This window comes from Homo sapiens, chromosome 11 (assembly GCF_000001405.40).
Source record: "Homo sapiens chromosome 11, GRCh38.p14 Primary Assembly".
Taxonomy (NCBI): domain Eukaryota; kingdom Metazoa; phylum Chordata; class Mammalia; order Primates; family Hominidae; genus Homo; species Homo sapiens.
Genome location: NC_000011.10, coordinates 113,387,546 through 113,402,463, shown reverse-complemented (window position 1 = coordinate 113,402,463; position 14,918 = coordinate 113,387,546). Strand labels below are relative to the sequence as shown.

Sequence of the window (14,918 nt, the reverse complement as noted above, 5' to 3'; positions counted from 1 at the left end):
GAAAAAGACCTCTGACACCCAAGCTGCTGGCCACTGATGTCTGCAAGGTTATGCTAAGGAAGGGCACAGAGAGAAACCATGGGATGCTCCAGTGCTTCTCAGCCCTGGGTGCTCTTCAGAATCACTTGGGAATTGTTAATGATGCTCACACCAAGGTCCTACCCTGGAGGTTCTGGTTTAATTGGTTGAGGGTAGGGCCAGGCGTTGGTATATTTTAAAAGCCCCTTGCCCAGGAGATTTTAACGTGCAGGCTCGGTTTACAACCATGGCTCTAGGACACACTCCAGCTTCCTGGGCTCACATCTGACTTTCCATGGTGGCCATAAGCTATGGCAAGGTGGTGGTAAAGGGCCCAGGGCCCAACAGGCTGGAGCTGTGGTCCAGAGGCCAAAGGATGGAGGACACAAAGCTGCTAGCTCTACTGAAAGGGACTTGTTAATTCAACAGGATTGCACGTGGGCAACACATTTCCTCTGCCCCACCTCTCTCACCCCATGCTGATGCCAGGCTGCTAGCTGCTGGCCCCATGCCCAGACTGGAGTGCCCAGCCCAGGAGAATGACACGCAGAGGTGGGCCTGCCAATCAGCTTGGCTGAGAGCTGGCCAATAGTTGGGACAGATGATTCCTTTTCTCTGACAATTGCAAAACATCCTTGAGTGGGAGGAGCTGCTTCTACTATGCTGACCAGCAGTGTAGGGAGACAGAAGGAGCAGGATAGGACCCCAGGAAACTCATCCTGTCCCTACTCCCTCCAAATTGTTGGCTGCTCTCCTGGAAGCTGAACTAGGGCCCTGGTCACATAAAGTTAGTGTGAACAGCTCCAGCCACAACCAGCAGGACAGGACAGGACAGCTGATGGGTGGCCTGGGTGTGGTCACAAAAGTGAGCCCTGCAAGCTCCATACTGAGTCCAGACAACCCACCCCTCACCATCATCACCCCCTCCAACTCCCTCTGCTGCCTCTGCCTCCTGTCTTTATGTGAACTCACACACACATATGAACACACATATACCCTACATTAGACAAATCGCATACACACACAAGCACACCATACTAACGCTGCTGGCCTCTATATGCAACTTGGTTCCACAGGCCAATCCATCTCTAAACAGGAGCCTCAGAGCCTCAGCTTTCTTGACTTCAGAGTTTGAAATCTGGCTGTAAAACTGGACACGATGTAGGATGAAGGGTGGTGCTGGGGACCAGGGACCTCACATCTCACATAGGGTGACTTATCCACAGTTGGAGTGCACCCTTCCTATATCCTCAAAATGCCATGAGGGAGACCCAGGCATTGGGACCAGGGGCACTGGACAGGTGTGGTCAGTGTGGCAACAGATGGCTGGCTGGGACTTTAGTGAGCAGAAACCTCCTTTGAACTTTTAGCTTCTGCCCCTTGAGCAAAGCACACGTGTCTGGCTCTCCCGCCCCAGCCTGAGGTAAGGAGCCAAGAGCCCAAGACGTGAGATGGGAGGATCCTGCTTCCCTCACCGCTGTGCCTCCCTCCATCTCCAGAGGGGGTCTGCTAGGATGCAAGGGCCCCTGTGAACTCAGAAGCGAGTGGCAAAAGGTGGTAGGTGTCTTGGATTGGAGAGGGTATTCATTTGGGGAGCTTGCATCCCCATAAAGGAGGAGGAGGAGGCCTGGGGTCTGTTGGAAGTGACTGGAGGATGTGTTGAAGGCAGCTCTCCAAGCCAGAGCCCCTTCCTCAGCTACAGCCACAGTGATACCTCTCCCCATGCCCCCATCACCCAGGTTCCTGTCTCCTCTCAAGGTGGAAGGGGCAGGTGAAGACTGCAGACAGGGAAGATGCCCTGCCAGAAGCCCAGCTGCACTTTCACCAGTTCCTACTCCATCCAGGCGAGAGGCCCCAAGTAGTCTAAATTTCTTTCTTTCTTTCTTTTTTATATGGAGTCTCGCTCTGTTGCCCAGGCTGGAGTGCAGTGGTGCGATCTCGGCTCACTGCAACCTCTGCCTCCTGGGTTCAAGGAATTCTCCTGCCTCAGCCTCCCTGGTAGTTGGGATTACAGGCACGTGCCACCATACCCAGCTAAATTTTGTATTTTTAGCAGAGACAGGGTTTTGCCATGTTGGCCAGGCTGGCCTCAAACTCTTGATATCAGGTGATCTGCCTGCCTCAGCCTCCCAAAGTGCTGGGATTACAGACGTGAGCCACCACGGCTGGCCAAGTTGTCTAAATTTCCATCTCGGCTCCTGGCTTAGAACCACCCAGAGTGGCCACTGACGGCTCCTTGCCCTCTAGGAAGGACATGATGCCCTGCTTTCGGCTGCGGAGGGCCAGTTGCAGGGGTGTGCAGCTCACTCCATCCTGGACGTCCAGCTGGGCGCCTGCCTCGACCAGCACTTTGAGGATGGCTGTGTTGCCCTTGAGGGCGGCCAGGTGGGCGGGTGTCCAGCCCACCTTGTTGCGGGCGTGGACATTTGCGTGATGTTCTAGGAGGTTGATGACACTCAGGAAGGTGCTCCTCTGGACCGCCAGGTGGAGGGGTGTCCAGCCTGACTGCTCTGCAGCATTGGGGTCAGCCCCACACTGCAGCAGTGCTGACACCACCGCCTCCTCCCCGTGGCGTGCAGCTAGGTGCAGGGGAGTCCAGTTCACAGCTCCAAGAGCACCCATGTTTGCGTGGCTCTCTGCCAGCAGATGGATGATCTCCAGGTGGCCCTTGTAGGCTGCTAGATGCAGGGGTGTCCAGCCCTGGTGGGTGGGCAGCTCAAGGCTGGCTCCGTACCTGAGCAGCATCTTGCAGATCAGGTATTTGCCCCTGGCAGCTGCAGTGTGCAGTGGGCCGTAGCCGCTCTGGTCAAGGGCATCAGGGACCGCTCCACTCTTCAGCAGGTGTTGGATGGCCCTCACTTTGCCCCGCTCTACTGCCAGGTGCAGTGGTGTTCTCAGGTTTCTCTGCTGAGCATCCAACTCAGCCCCCTGGCTGGTCAGCAGCTTGACCAGGCTAACATGGCCAAAGTAGGCGGCCACATGGAGGGGGGTCTTGCCCTCAGCCTCATGCAGGTTGGGGTCAGCCTGACGGGAGACCAGAAGCCGTGCCACATTCTCAAAGTTATTCTGTGCAGCCAGGTGAAGAGGGGTCCACCCTTCACGTTCCTGGGCATCCACACAGGCCCCGTGGTCCAGGAGCAGGCGCGCAGTGCCGTCATCCCCATTCTGGGCTGCAAAGTGCAGTGGGGCCCAGCCATCCTCATCCACTCGGTTGGCATCAGCACCATGTGCCAAAAGCAGGGCACAGAGGTCGGGTTGCTGGTCCTGGGCGGCGATCAGGAGGGGCGTGTATCCAGAGGCCGTCTGGCAGTCCACGTCTACCTCGTGGGCCAGCAGCAACCTCACCTGCTCCACACTGCCCTGGGCCACCAGGAAGTGGAGGGGGGTGACCTTGTTCTCATAGATACACAGTTCCTCATCTCTCGGGACCAAATTCTTACGGTCGGAGAGCTGAAGGGCCCGCTTCAGGTAGTTTCCTGAGTCTGCTGGGAGAAAGATGGGGTTGAAAAAAAAGACCTGTGACCCGTCCAGAGGTCATCATGGCCATCCCCCTGCCTCCTGGAAGTACCATCCAGGAACAGAGGCTAGAGCAGTAAGGGCAATGCCTTTCCTAAGCATGGCTCTCTACACAGCCATAAATGTTACTATTCAAGTTCAGGCTCGGTCGTCCTGGAGAGCTGAGTCCTGCAGTCCTTTCCTCACAGGTGAGGCAGAAAGAGCAGTGGGCTCAGGAGGCCCGAGTGCAAATCCTGATTTCACTCCTCAGCATCCCCCGACCTTAGCCAATTCACTGCCTCTTTGAGCTTCCATATCTGGATCAGATATGGAAGAGGGGACAAACAATGATCAGTTCATTCTACCATTGGAAGGACAAATTATATAGGTAAAAACTTTCAGTGGAGGACCTGAGGGAAAGTAAGCAATTCTAAGTTGGAAATAAACTTGTGGTTGGAGTTCTATGATCTAAACTCCCCTCTGAGGTCTTAAGGATCAACATCCTTCTGCTCTACCCAGTGGAGTATGAGAATTAAAATGACAAAAATGATCACTACCCAGGCCTAACCCTCACAGATTCTGGTTTAATTAGTCTAGGGTGTGCCCAAGGCAAAGCTTTTTTTTTTTTTTTTTTTTAATTTCCCGAGCAATTCTAACATGCAGCCAGCCTTGAGAACCAATGCTCCACCTTTCAGGTCAGGAAAGGGAAAATTCCGTCTTGCAAGGACACAGACTTGAAAGGGAGGCAGCCAGGCTCCCTGAGGGCATGTGCTTTCTGAACATGCAGCTGGGTGCTGGAAAAGGGCACCTAAACCCTGGATGTGTGATAGGCCTGGGGATGAGGGGGAGGCCAGGGGGATGGGGAAAGGGTGTGGTTTGACTCCATTTTCTCTGCTGTGAGTTCTCTGGTCCCGCCCGTGGCACCCAGACTCACCACTGTCCATCAGTTCCTGGCTGATGTCCTCATTAACCTGGGGAGGCATAACCAGCAGGCAGGGTGGAGATCAGTGGCGCAGTTCTAGCCTGTGCCCTCCTCCCCTCCTTCCCTCTCTCCAACCTTCCCGGTCACTGTCAGGACTCACATCCCACCCTATCCTGGGAAACCTTTATCCTTTGCCATGACTATCCCCAGCTGTCTAGAGGAAAACACTGAGCTGGAGAAACCCTCCAGAAAGAGGCAGCTCAGGGCCTTGCCTTCCCCTTGGGCCATGTGAACTTCAGGGTGGATCTGTGAGTTCAGCTGGGGGAGCCCCATGTTAACTCATGGCTGGTTCCCGTGTTAAGAATAGGGACAGAAGAGCAGGGGGATGATGTTGACACCCACAGCATGAAAGCTTGGGAGAGCCGGGCCTTCCTCTGCAGGACAGGAGTCAGTTTGGTCCCAAACATGAGAGAGAAGGTATATCCTTCCCAGGGGCCCTGTGCTCTAGCCACCACTATCCCTTGGAGTACCTTCATGCAAATTAGGGAAATGTGTCCCCTCTGGATGGAGGTGGCCCCAAGCTGGGCTGTGCATGAGTGCTCAGTGTCTGGCCAGAGATCACAACAGTCCACACAGCGGGCTCCAGCTTAGCATGACCATAAGGACTGCCCAGCCCACACACTCACCTCCCCGGGCTGGCGCAGCGACAGCTTGCAGGACACCTTCCTGGCCAGGGCCTTGCTCTCTGGGACTGCCACACGACTCTGCAGCAGTGACAGCAGTATGTCTGTCTCGATGGTAATGTCTGCTCCATGAGTGGGAGAAAGACAGGAAAGGAAGCAACGGGCTGGCCCACAGTACCCTCCCTGTTTTAGATACCCTAACATTCCTGTCTCCCAAAATCCATTCCTGGGCTCACATATGTTCATATAAATGCACGAGAAGGCAGGAAACCTGGGTCATGGTGGGGCACCTTCAGCAAGTCACTGACCCTCTGAGTTATCAGGGTCCTTTCCCACAGAATGAGGGGGCAAGTTCAGGCAATCTCTAAGATGCTCACACTTACACACAGGTGCATTTTCACAGTCCCCAAAGGACTGGATGAGCTCATGGGCCATCCTCAGCCTGTGATCTCATGGCCTGGAAACATTTTACAAATGAGGAAACAGTAGCTCTGAAAGGACTCAAGGCTGGCTGGAGAGCTTGGTGACAGGGCCAGGCCCAGATGCTGTGGCTTCTGCCTTTTGGCACCGAGGGTTTTCTACTCCACCTCCCACAGGGACATGCATTAACACACACAGAGCCCAGACCCCATCCTCAGCTACTCCTGGCTCCCAGTGCTGCCTTCCCAGCCCCGTGATGCAGATCCTGCCTCAAAAAGTCCTTCTAGGCCAGGTACAGTGGTTCATACCTGTAATCCCAGCACTTTGGGAGGATGAGGCTGGAGGATCACTTGAGGCCAGGAGTTTGAGAACAGCCTGAATAACATAGCGAGACCCCCATCTCTTAAAAAAAATCTAAAAATTAGCCAGGCATGGTGGTGTGCTTGTTGTTCTGGCTACTCAGGAGGCTGAGGCGGGAGGATATCTTGAGCCCAGGAGTTTGAGCTTATGGTGAAGTATGATCACACCACCACACTCCAGCCTGGACCAGAGAGACCGTGTCTCTGAAAAAAAAAAAAAAAAAGTCCTTCTAGGCCGTAGTACCAAAAGTGTCTCTCTGCATAGCTCCCAGGAGTGCCCAGTCATCTCCCCTCCCGGCCCCACCCAGCTCCCAGTCCCTGGGTAGGGGGCACTGGATAAGCACCTAGAAAGCATGGCCTCTTCTTGGGGTCCTGGTCCCAGCAGCGTTTCATCAGGTCCACCATCTGCTGGGCCTCGCTTGGCCATTGGTCAGAGACAGGCTGTAGGGAGGGCCGCATGCCTGCCGCCACTCGGATAATAATCATCATCATGTTGAACCCTGCAAAGGGAGGCTCAGGCTATGTGGGTGCTGAGAGGTAGGGCTGGAGGGGAGCTGGGGAGGAAGGCGGGGGCTCTGAGGATCCCAACAGGGCATGCACGCAGTGGGGGCTCCACAAATGCTTGGTGAGTAAACAGCTAGACTTTCAACCAACTTGAGGTTCTGTGTTGAGCAGCCAAGTCTCTCTGGTCTGGCTCCAGCTGCCTCCCAGGTCAAGACTAGACATGACCCCACATTGCAGGTCTGTGCTGTCCAAAGGCAGCAGGACAGGCAGCTGATGGGCAGGCCTAGGTAAAGGCTCTGACTCTCAAGGTTGCAAGGTTGCCCAAGTTTCCTGCAGTCTCTTTACCTGGCATCTAGGTGGCAGGGGGCAGGGGTGTGAGAAGGCAGAAAGGGCACTTTAGAAGCAAGGAAGTTAGAGCCACCAAGCATGGGCTGGGGGCTGGGCTGACCTTTCCTTTCCTTTAGCTGTGACGTGAGCTCTAGAAATAGAGGCAGGAAGGAAGGAGGGTGAGGAGAGGAATCCCTGAAGAGAATACAGTTCCACACAAACCTGCAACTTGACCCCCCCCAACCCTCAGTCCTCCCACAGCCCCTTCCAGGAGCCCATCCCAGGGGTCCTCCTGCCCCCAACACAGAGCCACAGCCGCCTGCTTACCTGAGTATGGTTTCTTCTGAGTGAGTAGCTCCCAGATGACAATTGCAAAGCTGTGGATGCAGAGAACCCTTTCTGAATGACTTAGTTGAACATCCAAGATCACCCCAGCCCGGGGTGGCAGGGTCGGGGGGCTACAGTTCACACAGTCCCAGGCAAGCCTCACCGGCCAAAGTACTCCCCAGCCCTCTGCCTCTCCAGCCAGAGTCCTCCGCCTTGGGCCAGACCTCATGCCCGCACTGCCCTGCCCTTTGGGCCATAGAGGCCAGGCAGGGTGGTGGCAGCAAACTGCCTGCTGGGTGTGTGGCATCACGCCAGGCCTCCTTCTCACCTGTACACATCATATTTAGGTCCTGGGGCCTTGTTACTCTCCAGGAACATCTCAGGGGGGATGTAGCTGAGCATGCCCCGCAGAGCCGACCTCTCGATGTACTGCATCCGGGTGGACTGTTCCATCCACTTGGACAGGCCGAAGTCTGAAATCTGGGAGAAGGCAGGGGCAGAGATAAAGCCGTGATAGAGCCTCATGACCAGAAAACGGCTATGGCTTCTCACCCCTCCTGCTATCTGCCTGTTCCAGGGTAGAGTAGTGGTTTTCTATGACACTCCCTCCTAGCACTACCACTTACTATCTGGATGGTCTTGGCCAAATTACTTATCTTCTCAGAGCCTCAGTTTCTTCACCTGTAAAGTAGAAGTAATATGACCATTTAACTCACAGTGCTATTGTGAGCACTAAATGAGGTGCCATGCAAAAAGCACTTAAACAGTGCCTGGCATGTAGTTAGGATGTGGTAGGTGTTATTATCCAGAGACTATGAATGAAGTTGCCACCTTCGGTAAGCTATTCATTGCACCTCCGGGGGCCCTGAAACACACCATGGACATTTATCTTCCCTTTGCTCCCATCCACTGAGTCATTCACTTGTCAAGTTGGCCATGCATTGAGGGCCAGGAAGGCTGTGGACCAAGGACTGGGCAGCAGATAAGAAAAATGAGACACCCCCTGCCAACACACACACTCCATATCCTCGTAAATACTTATTCAAATAGGGGGTCCAGTCATTAATGAAAGTGTTTCACTAATGATTATATACCTATGTTGGGGTTAGTAATATGGAGAATCAGAGGTACAGTGAAGGCATATAATGGGGACCTACTGGAGTAGATCAGGGAAGAGCTCCCTGAGGAGGTGATGGTTAAGCTGAATAGTGAGTAGACCTTCGCTAGGTAAATAGAGGGGAGTGGGGAAACAGAAGCTGCAAAGGTCCTGGGGCAAAAAAGAGTTTTAGGAAGTGAAAGAATGTCCATTACAACCTTTCTTAGGGATTGTCTCATTTACACACGTCTCCATCCAAATAAAAGAAAGTGCAGGGAAATAGAGATTATTCTATCCAATTTAGAAATGGGAAACTGAGTCCAAAGAGGGTTATTATAGGCATCCTGATACCCAGCCTTATGCCCCAAATTTCACTGCTTAGCCATCTCTATTGCAGTGTGATCCCTGCCTTTAGAATTTGTCCATGAAGGGAACTGCTTAAAACCCTTGACAGGCCGGTCAGGCAGGTGGATAATTCTGCTCACCTGGAGGCAACCCTCAAGTGAAAGGGAGCGGAGGATTGGCCAGAGCCCTTACTTTGACATGCATGTTGCTGTCCAGGAGTATGTTGCCCGGCTTGAGGTCCAGGTGGAGCAGAGGCGGCTTAATGCTGTGCAGGAAGTTCATGGCCAAGCTGGTCTCATGGATGATGCGGAACCTGAGCTTCCAGCAGAGGCTGTGGGTGGACAGCACCTTCTCCAGGGAGCCGTTGGCCATAAACTCCATCACAATACCCAGGGGCTGCTTGCACACCCCGTAGATAGACACGATGTGCTGAAACTTGATCTTCTTCATTTTGGCAGCTTCTTCAATGAGGTAATTCACATCAGAGCTATGGAGAGGGGGAGCAAGATATGGAAGGGGGTGACCCATTCATTACTACAGCAACCAGCTGAACACATAAACTAGCCATGATGCCAGACTGTGGGGACCCACAGAAGCCTCAGGAGCTTGCAAGGTAGTGGAAGAGGAAAGAGAGACATGAAGCAATACTTAGCAGGCCGCTTAGATTTCAGTACAGCAGCAACAAGGCAGGAAGTAAAGGAGTTTGCAGGTTTAGGAGCCAGTCCATTCTGCAAAGGTGGCCACAAAAAAGCAGGTATCACAGTTTGCCCTTTATTCTAGTTGCTTGTTTCTATGTTTATCTCCCCTAGTAGATTTTGAGCCCCCAGAGGACCAACATGATGCCTCATGCTTCTGCTTCAAAACATCATTTATTACCATTTAAATTATGGAAGTAATACATATACCTTGTAGGAAACATAGGGAATATAGAGAGCTATATAAAAGAAAAATAAGTTACCAGGGATGCAACCTTCCAGAGCTAGCCTCTGTTGATATTTTAGTATATCCTTTTACTATCCACCTTCAAGGTATCTCTTTCCCTTTCTCCCTCTCTTTCACTCCTTCTTTCTGCTCTCTCCTTTTGGATCACATAGTATGTGGAGCACGAGCACTTCCCCACACTGCTGTTCTTCCAAAGCATGATCTTTAGTGGCTGCACACTATTCCATTTTATGGATGAACTGTAATTATTCATCTCTATAATTCCCAAAGTGCATTGCCATGCATTGCACAATACATCTTTGTTGAATTGGAACAGAAGTCGAAACTTAAGGGAAGGCCTTACAAAATAAGCATTTGCAAACCCTGTTGCTCATTTCACTGTATGTGCCCACAGAACAGTAAATATGAAAATTGTTATAGATTATTTTGGGATTGCAGGGATGGGGATTAAGGAGAAATGACATATTTGAGAGCACAGTATTTGCAAAACTGTGATGGTGCTGTAGTCAGAGACTGCTGGCAATGTGCTCCCGGGGTCTCCCTGGGAAGCCAGCTGGAGAGCCCCAACCTTCAGGAAAAACCACATGCTCTTCCTGGCATCTGGACATGTTGGCTAGTGTAGGTTTCTCCTATTCTTGTTCACTTGTGCCAGAGATCCCTTCTCCACCTCTGTGATATTTTTAATCTGTCTTCTCTCATCCTCTTGGGTTCACAGGAACCAATGACATCTGCCATGGCATGGAAAAAAGCATGGGATGTGGGAATCACACTGCCCTGATTTCAAATCCCAGTTTCACCCGTTATTATCTGTATGACCTTGGGCAAGGGAATCCTCTGGGCCTCAGTTTCTAAACTAAAAACTGGGAATAATTGTAACTACCTTGCACAGTTCTTTCATAGCTTCCTACCCAGAAGTCTTGAGAGCATTTACTGCTGTCTCTCCTCTTCATCATCTTGCTGCACCCACTTTTGTCTAGTTTCTGGTACCTGCACTCCCCTGAACACCTGTGGCTAAGGTCACCAACAGCCTCTATGTTGCTATATCTAACCAATAATTTTCAGTTCTCAGTGTATAGTTCAGATCTCTGACTCTTTTTCTTGAAACTTCGTTACTTGAGCCACGTGTCAACATTCTCCTGCTTTTCTCCTACTTGTCTGGTCACTTCCTCTCTGTTTTCTTTGCAGGCTCATATCCTGTTACTTGACCACGGGGCTTAGTCCAAGCCCTTCTTCTCTGCTCTTCTCCCTCTATAATCTTTCTATAGTCAACCTCATCATCTCCAATTGGATATTCAATACCAAATGTGTCTGAAGCTAACCTCCTGATTTTCCCCTGAAACCTGCTCTTCCTTTAGTTTTCATCATTTCAGTGAATGGGGCCTCTGTCCTTCTAGTCCTCAGAATAGGACCCTGGTGTCATCTTCGACTCCTTTCTTCCTCTCACTTCCCACAGCCAAGTCTTCGCAAATCCTGCCAGCACCACCTTCAAAATACTGTCGAGCAACAAGCTGACCACTTCTCACCACCTCTCCCCCAAGGTGCATCTCAGCCCAAGCCTCCTAATTGGACTCTGTTTCTCCCGCTTCCTCTCCACAATCTATTCTCAACCCAGCAGCCAAAGTCATATTTTAAAATCTAAGTCACAACATGTCACTGCCCTTCTCCAATGGCTCTCCTCATTCACAGTAAAAGCCAAAGTTCTTTCATGGCTGAGAAAGTCCTACAAGATTTGTCCCCAATGCCAGGCATAGCTTGCTGACCTCCTTTCCTAATCACCCTCCTCTCATTGTGCCCCTGGCACACGGGCTTCCCACTGTTCCTCCACCATGCCCAGTGTGGTCCCACCTCAGGACCTTTGCACCTGTTGTTCTCTCTGCCTAGAACACTCCTCCCTAACAGAGCCACATGGATTACCCCTTCATTTCCTTCAAATCTCTACTCAAATGGTACCTAATTAGTATGGATTTCACAGAGAAGTCTACATAAAAAAGCAACCCCATTCCAACTCTTATATTCCCCATACACAGAGGGCCCTGGCATTAATATTTTTAGACCAACCCATTTCTTGGAAAATCAGACTTCTCAACCCTTCTTAGATATTTTAATCAAGAACTGTCAGGTGGTCATGAGTGCTATAGCTAAAAAGTTTATTATTCATTTGCTATTTATTTTGTCTTCCTCCTTTAGACTATAAGCTTCATGAGGGCAAGGACTTTGTTTTTTTCACGTAGTGCTTGGAATGAATGCATCTCCTCCATGCCTTTTTTTTGCTTTGTTTTTTTTTTTTTTTGAGACCAAGTCTCACTTTTGTTGCCCAGGCTGGAGTGCAATGGCATGATCTTGGCTCACTGCAACCTCTGCCTCCTGGGTTCAAGCAATTCTCCTATCTCAACCTCCTGAGTAGCTGGGACTACAGGTGCCCACCACCACGCCCAGCTAATTTATGTATTTTTAGTAGAGATGGAGTTTCACCATATTGGTCAGGCTGGTCTTGCCTGACCTCAGGTGATCCACCAGCCTTGGCCTCTCAAAGTGCTGGGATTACAAGCGTGAGCCACCAGGCCCAGCCTGATGCCCTAGTTTTAATGACCACTTATAACAAATGACTCCCAAGTTTTAATATTGTTAGCACCAACCTTTACTCTGATGTCCATGACAACTCTTCTTGGTTGTTTAAAGGCATCTGAAACTCAACAGGTACAAAGCTGAACTCATGATCTTCCTCTCCAAGTCTAGGCCTCTTTTCATAGTCTCTCCATTAATTGTCAACACTGCCATTCAATAAATATTTATTGAACACCAACTCTGTGCCAGGCACAGGAGACAGAGCTGTGACCAAAACAGACACTCTCATGGAGTGGACATTTTAGTGGATCCTCCATTCCTTTGGGCAAGCCAGACATCAAGTTAGCTTTAATACCCCTCTTCCTCATCGTGATCCTCCCCATGACTAATCCAGCACCAAGTCGGGTGGATTTTTACCTTCTAAATATGGCTTGACCCATTCCTTTCCTATCTCCACTACCAACACTCCACTCTAGCCCCTATTATCCGTCTCTCATCAGAATGAAGATAACAATCTCCTAACTTAACCAGAATCCACTCTACCCCTCCCAATGCATTCTCCATACTGCAATTCTGATTAATCCCTCCCATGGTCACCACCGCTACCTGGTTGTAAATGCTCAGTGGTTTTCCACTGCTCTTTTACTCTCCCAACTCCAGCCATCATGGCCTTTTCCCATCTTTGTACTTACCATGCCCCTCTTGCCACAGATTCTTTGCACACTCTGTTGTCTGTTCTTGGAAAACTTTCTCCTCCTCACCTACTTAACTTATACTCATTCTTCACATTTCAGCTGTAGTGTAACTTCTTCAAGGAAGCCTTTTCTGATATCAGTCAAACTTTCTGTTAATGAGCTCTCCTAGAGCCACAAATCTCCCCTTCTTAAGCTTCTCACAGTAGCACATTTACATTTACATGTGGGGTTATCTGGTTAATGTCTTCCTCCCCCTAGGCTGCAATCTCCCGGAGAGAAAGGACACATCTGTTGCATTCATCGTTAATCCCAGGGTGTAGAACAGTGCCTGACACATAGTAGAAGAGCAGTAAGCATTTGTCAAGTGGATGAATGAATGAATAGCTGGAAAGAGGATCTAGTAAAGTAATGCACGTAAAGCTCCTAGTATAGTAATCCATACATACTAAGTCTTAATTACCATTAATTATCTTACCCCCTCCACCCAGGGAATTCCCAGAACTTGGGAAGGGAAAGTGGCAGGAGTTAGCATCAATGTCTCACAGTGTAATCATGTCACTGCCATCTGTTTCCTTTCGTTCTATATTCAAAAGGCTATAAATGATTTAGACAAATCCTAGCATACTCTGACCCTCCTCCAAAACCAACAGGCAGATGTTGAGGGAGGAAGGTGAGTGGGCCTTAGGCGATCTTATTTTTCCTCTCCTCATAAGGTGGGGGAAGGCCTGGGAACTGAGTGTGTGGCACCTGAGGCTGTATCTTAAGAGTTTGCATGGTAATCCTAGAGAACCACAGATAGCATCCAAGCCAGATGCCAGTCAGAGAGACCCCCGTCCCGGACTCTCTAATTGATGTCCCAGAGCCTTGGGAGGAGGACATGGTTATCATGCTCAGGTTTAACATCCCGAGTGTCTTCTTCATGGCTGCAAGGTGCAAGCACACAGCTAGTATATGCAACTCCAGTGGGAATGAGACTGGATTCCAAATCAGTGGGAAGACAGAGAATAATGGAAACGTAGGAAAGAGGTAGGAAGAGAAAAATAGGGGCATGTCAAGGCGTCGCTGTAGTGCGCATGACAGCAAGGGACAAAAACAAAAACAGAGATGAGAGAACTCCAGACTTGACCCTCCAAGGGCCTGGACAGGCCATCAGGCCGGGCAGTCTCCATCCCCTGACCTCCTCAGCCTGCACTGATTGGGAGGGGCCTCCTCCCTCCCGCCACCGTGGGAAGAGAGAACATGATTCCCTGCAGATCTGAGCAAAGTGCCACAGCCTCCCAGGATGCTCAGCCCTGCCCTGAGAGCTGGGGTGGGTAGGAGGATGGCAGAGAGCGGTCAAGAGCAGTTATTGCCACAGGACACCGGGGGAAGAAGGCGCTGGAGAGAAGGATGGAAGCAGGCAGGACAAGTTCGGAAGGTCAGATGGGATAAAGGCGTCTTTGGTAGGTAGTTCCCGCTTGCCTTTGACCTCTGTTGAGTCTACAAACAGGTATTATGTGCCAACTCTATTTTGGTTAGGGAGACAGGTATGGGTGTGCCTGGGAGGCTCAGGCTACTGGGTGGAATTCAGAAATACCGCGGGGGACAGTCCTCAGCCCCAAACTCAGCCCACTCCTTCCTCGCAAGCTCCCTGGGCCCAAAGCTTGCCGGGCCTCAGTTTCTCCTCCGAGAAAGGGGAGGGCGAGGCTGGCAGTACCTGGCGGCGTCGGGTGGAAGGCAGGGGGCGCACTTGATGGCGTACTCCGTCCGCCAGCGCCTGTGCCGCGCCTGGAACACCTGGCTGAAGCCGCCGCTGGCCACTAGGCGCCAGTCGCCCTCGAAGTCGTCGCGGGTGAAGACGGGGAGGCTGCCCAGCCGCAGCTCGGTGGGGTCGGCAGCCATTGCCCCTCTCTTCCTGTCCCCGCGCCGCGCACTCCCCGCTGTGGCTGCTGCCTGGGTGGCCGAAGGAGCCGCCGCTTCCTGCTCCTCGGGTCCGGGAGAGGGGAATGGGGAGACGAGCCGGCCCTGCCTCCTTCCCCGCCCAAGAGGAGCCGCTCCTGCCCCGCAAAGGTGGGGAAATCCCAGACATGAGCCCTGAGGCCCCAGCAGGGATGGAGCGACCTGGGCCTGGGGAAGAGGGTATGTCCCTCCGAAGCCCTCGCATTTCCCCTGTCTCAGCCTTTGATTTTCCCCAGTTCCCCCTAGGGAGGGATGCTGGGAGAAGGTGTCCCGAAGCTGGAA

The 14,918-nt window shown here is 51.6% G+C and overlaps 1 protein-coding gene across 5 annotated transcripts; it reads right to left on the bottom strand.

Annotated features, from left to right (window-relative positions):
* Nucleotides 2,048-14,685, bottom strand: ANKK1 (ankyrin repeat and kinase domain containing 1). 5 transcript variants are annotated; one of them, XM_017017475.2, is made up of 9 exons: nt 14,395-14,685; nt 8,689-8,983; nt 7,384-7,535; nt 7,056-7,105; nt 6,850-6,879; nt 6,242-6,397; nt 5,122-5,240; nt 4,448-4,484; nt 2,048-3,500 (listed from the first exon to the last, which is right to left on the bottom strand). In XM_017017475.2, the coding sequence occupies exons 1-9, from the start codon at nt 14,577-14,579 to the stop codon at nt 2,197-2,199; spliced, it is 2,328 nt and encodes a 775-aa protein (XP_016872964.1). In that variant the 5' UTR covers nt 14,580-14,685; the 3' UTR covers nt 2,048-2,196. The 5 variants fall into 5 exon arrangements, with proteins under 5 accessions (XP_016872964.1, NP_848605.1, XP_011541038.1 ...); XM_011542736.3 differs by having other exon boundaries at nt 2,116-3,503; XM_011542738.2 differs by lacking the exon at nt 14,395-14,685 and adding an exon at nt 12,075-14,388 and having other exon boundaries at nt 2,116-3,503.

Excerpts from the sequence above, each read along its gene's own strand:
- ANKK1 (XM_011542736.3), bottom strand. The coding sequence starts at position 14,579 with ATGGCTGCCGACCCCACCGAGCTGCGGCTGGGCAGCCTCCCCGTCTTC. Across the intron at positions 7,106-7,383 it reads CCTAAATATGATGTGTACAG|CTTTGCAATTGTCATCTGGG; the intron begins GTGAGAAGGAGG and ends CTGCATCCACAG. Across the intron at positions 6,880-7,055 it reads TCAGAAGAAACCATACTCAG|AGCTCACGTCACAGCTAAAG; the intron begins GTAAGCAGGCGG and ends CTCTATTTCTAG.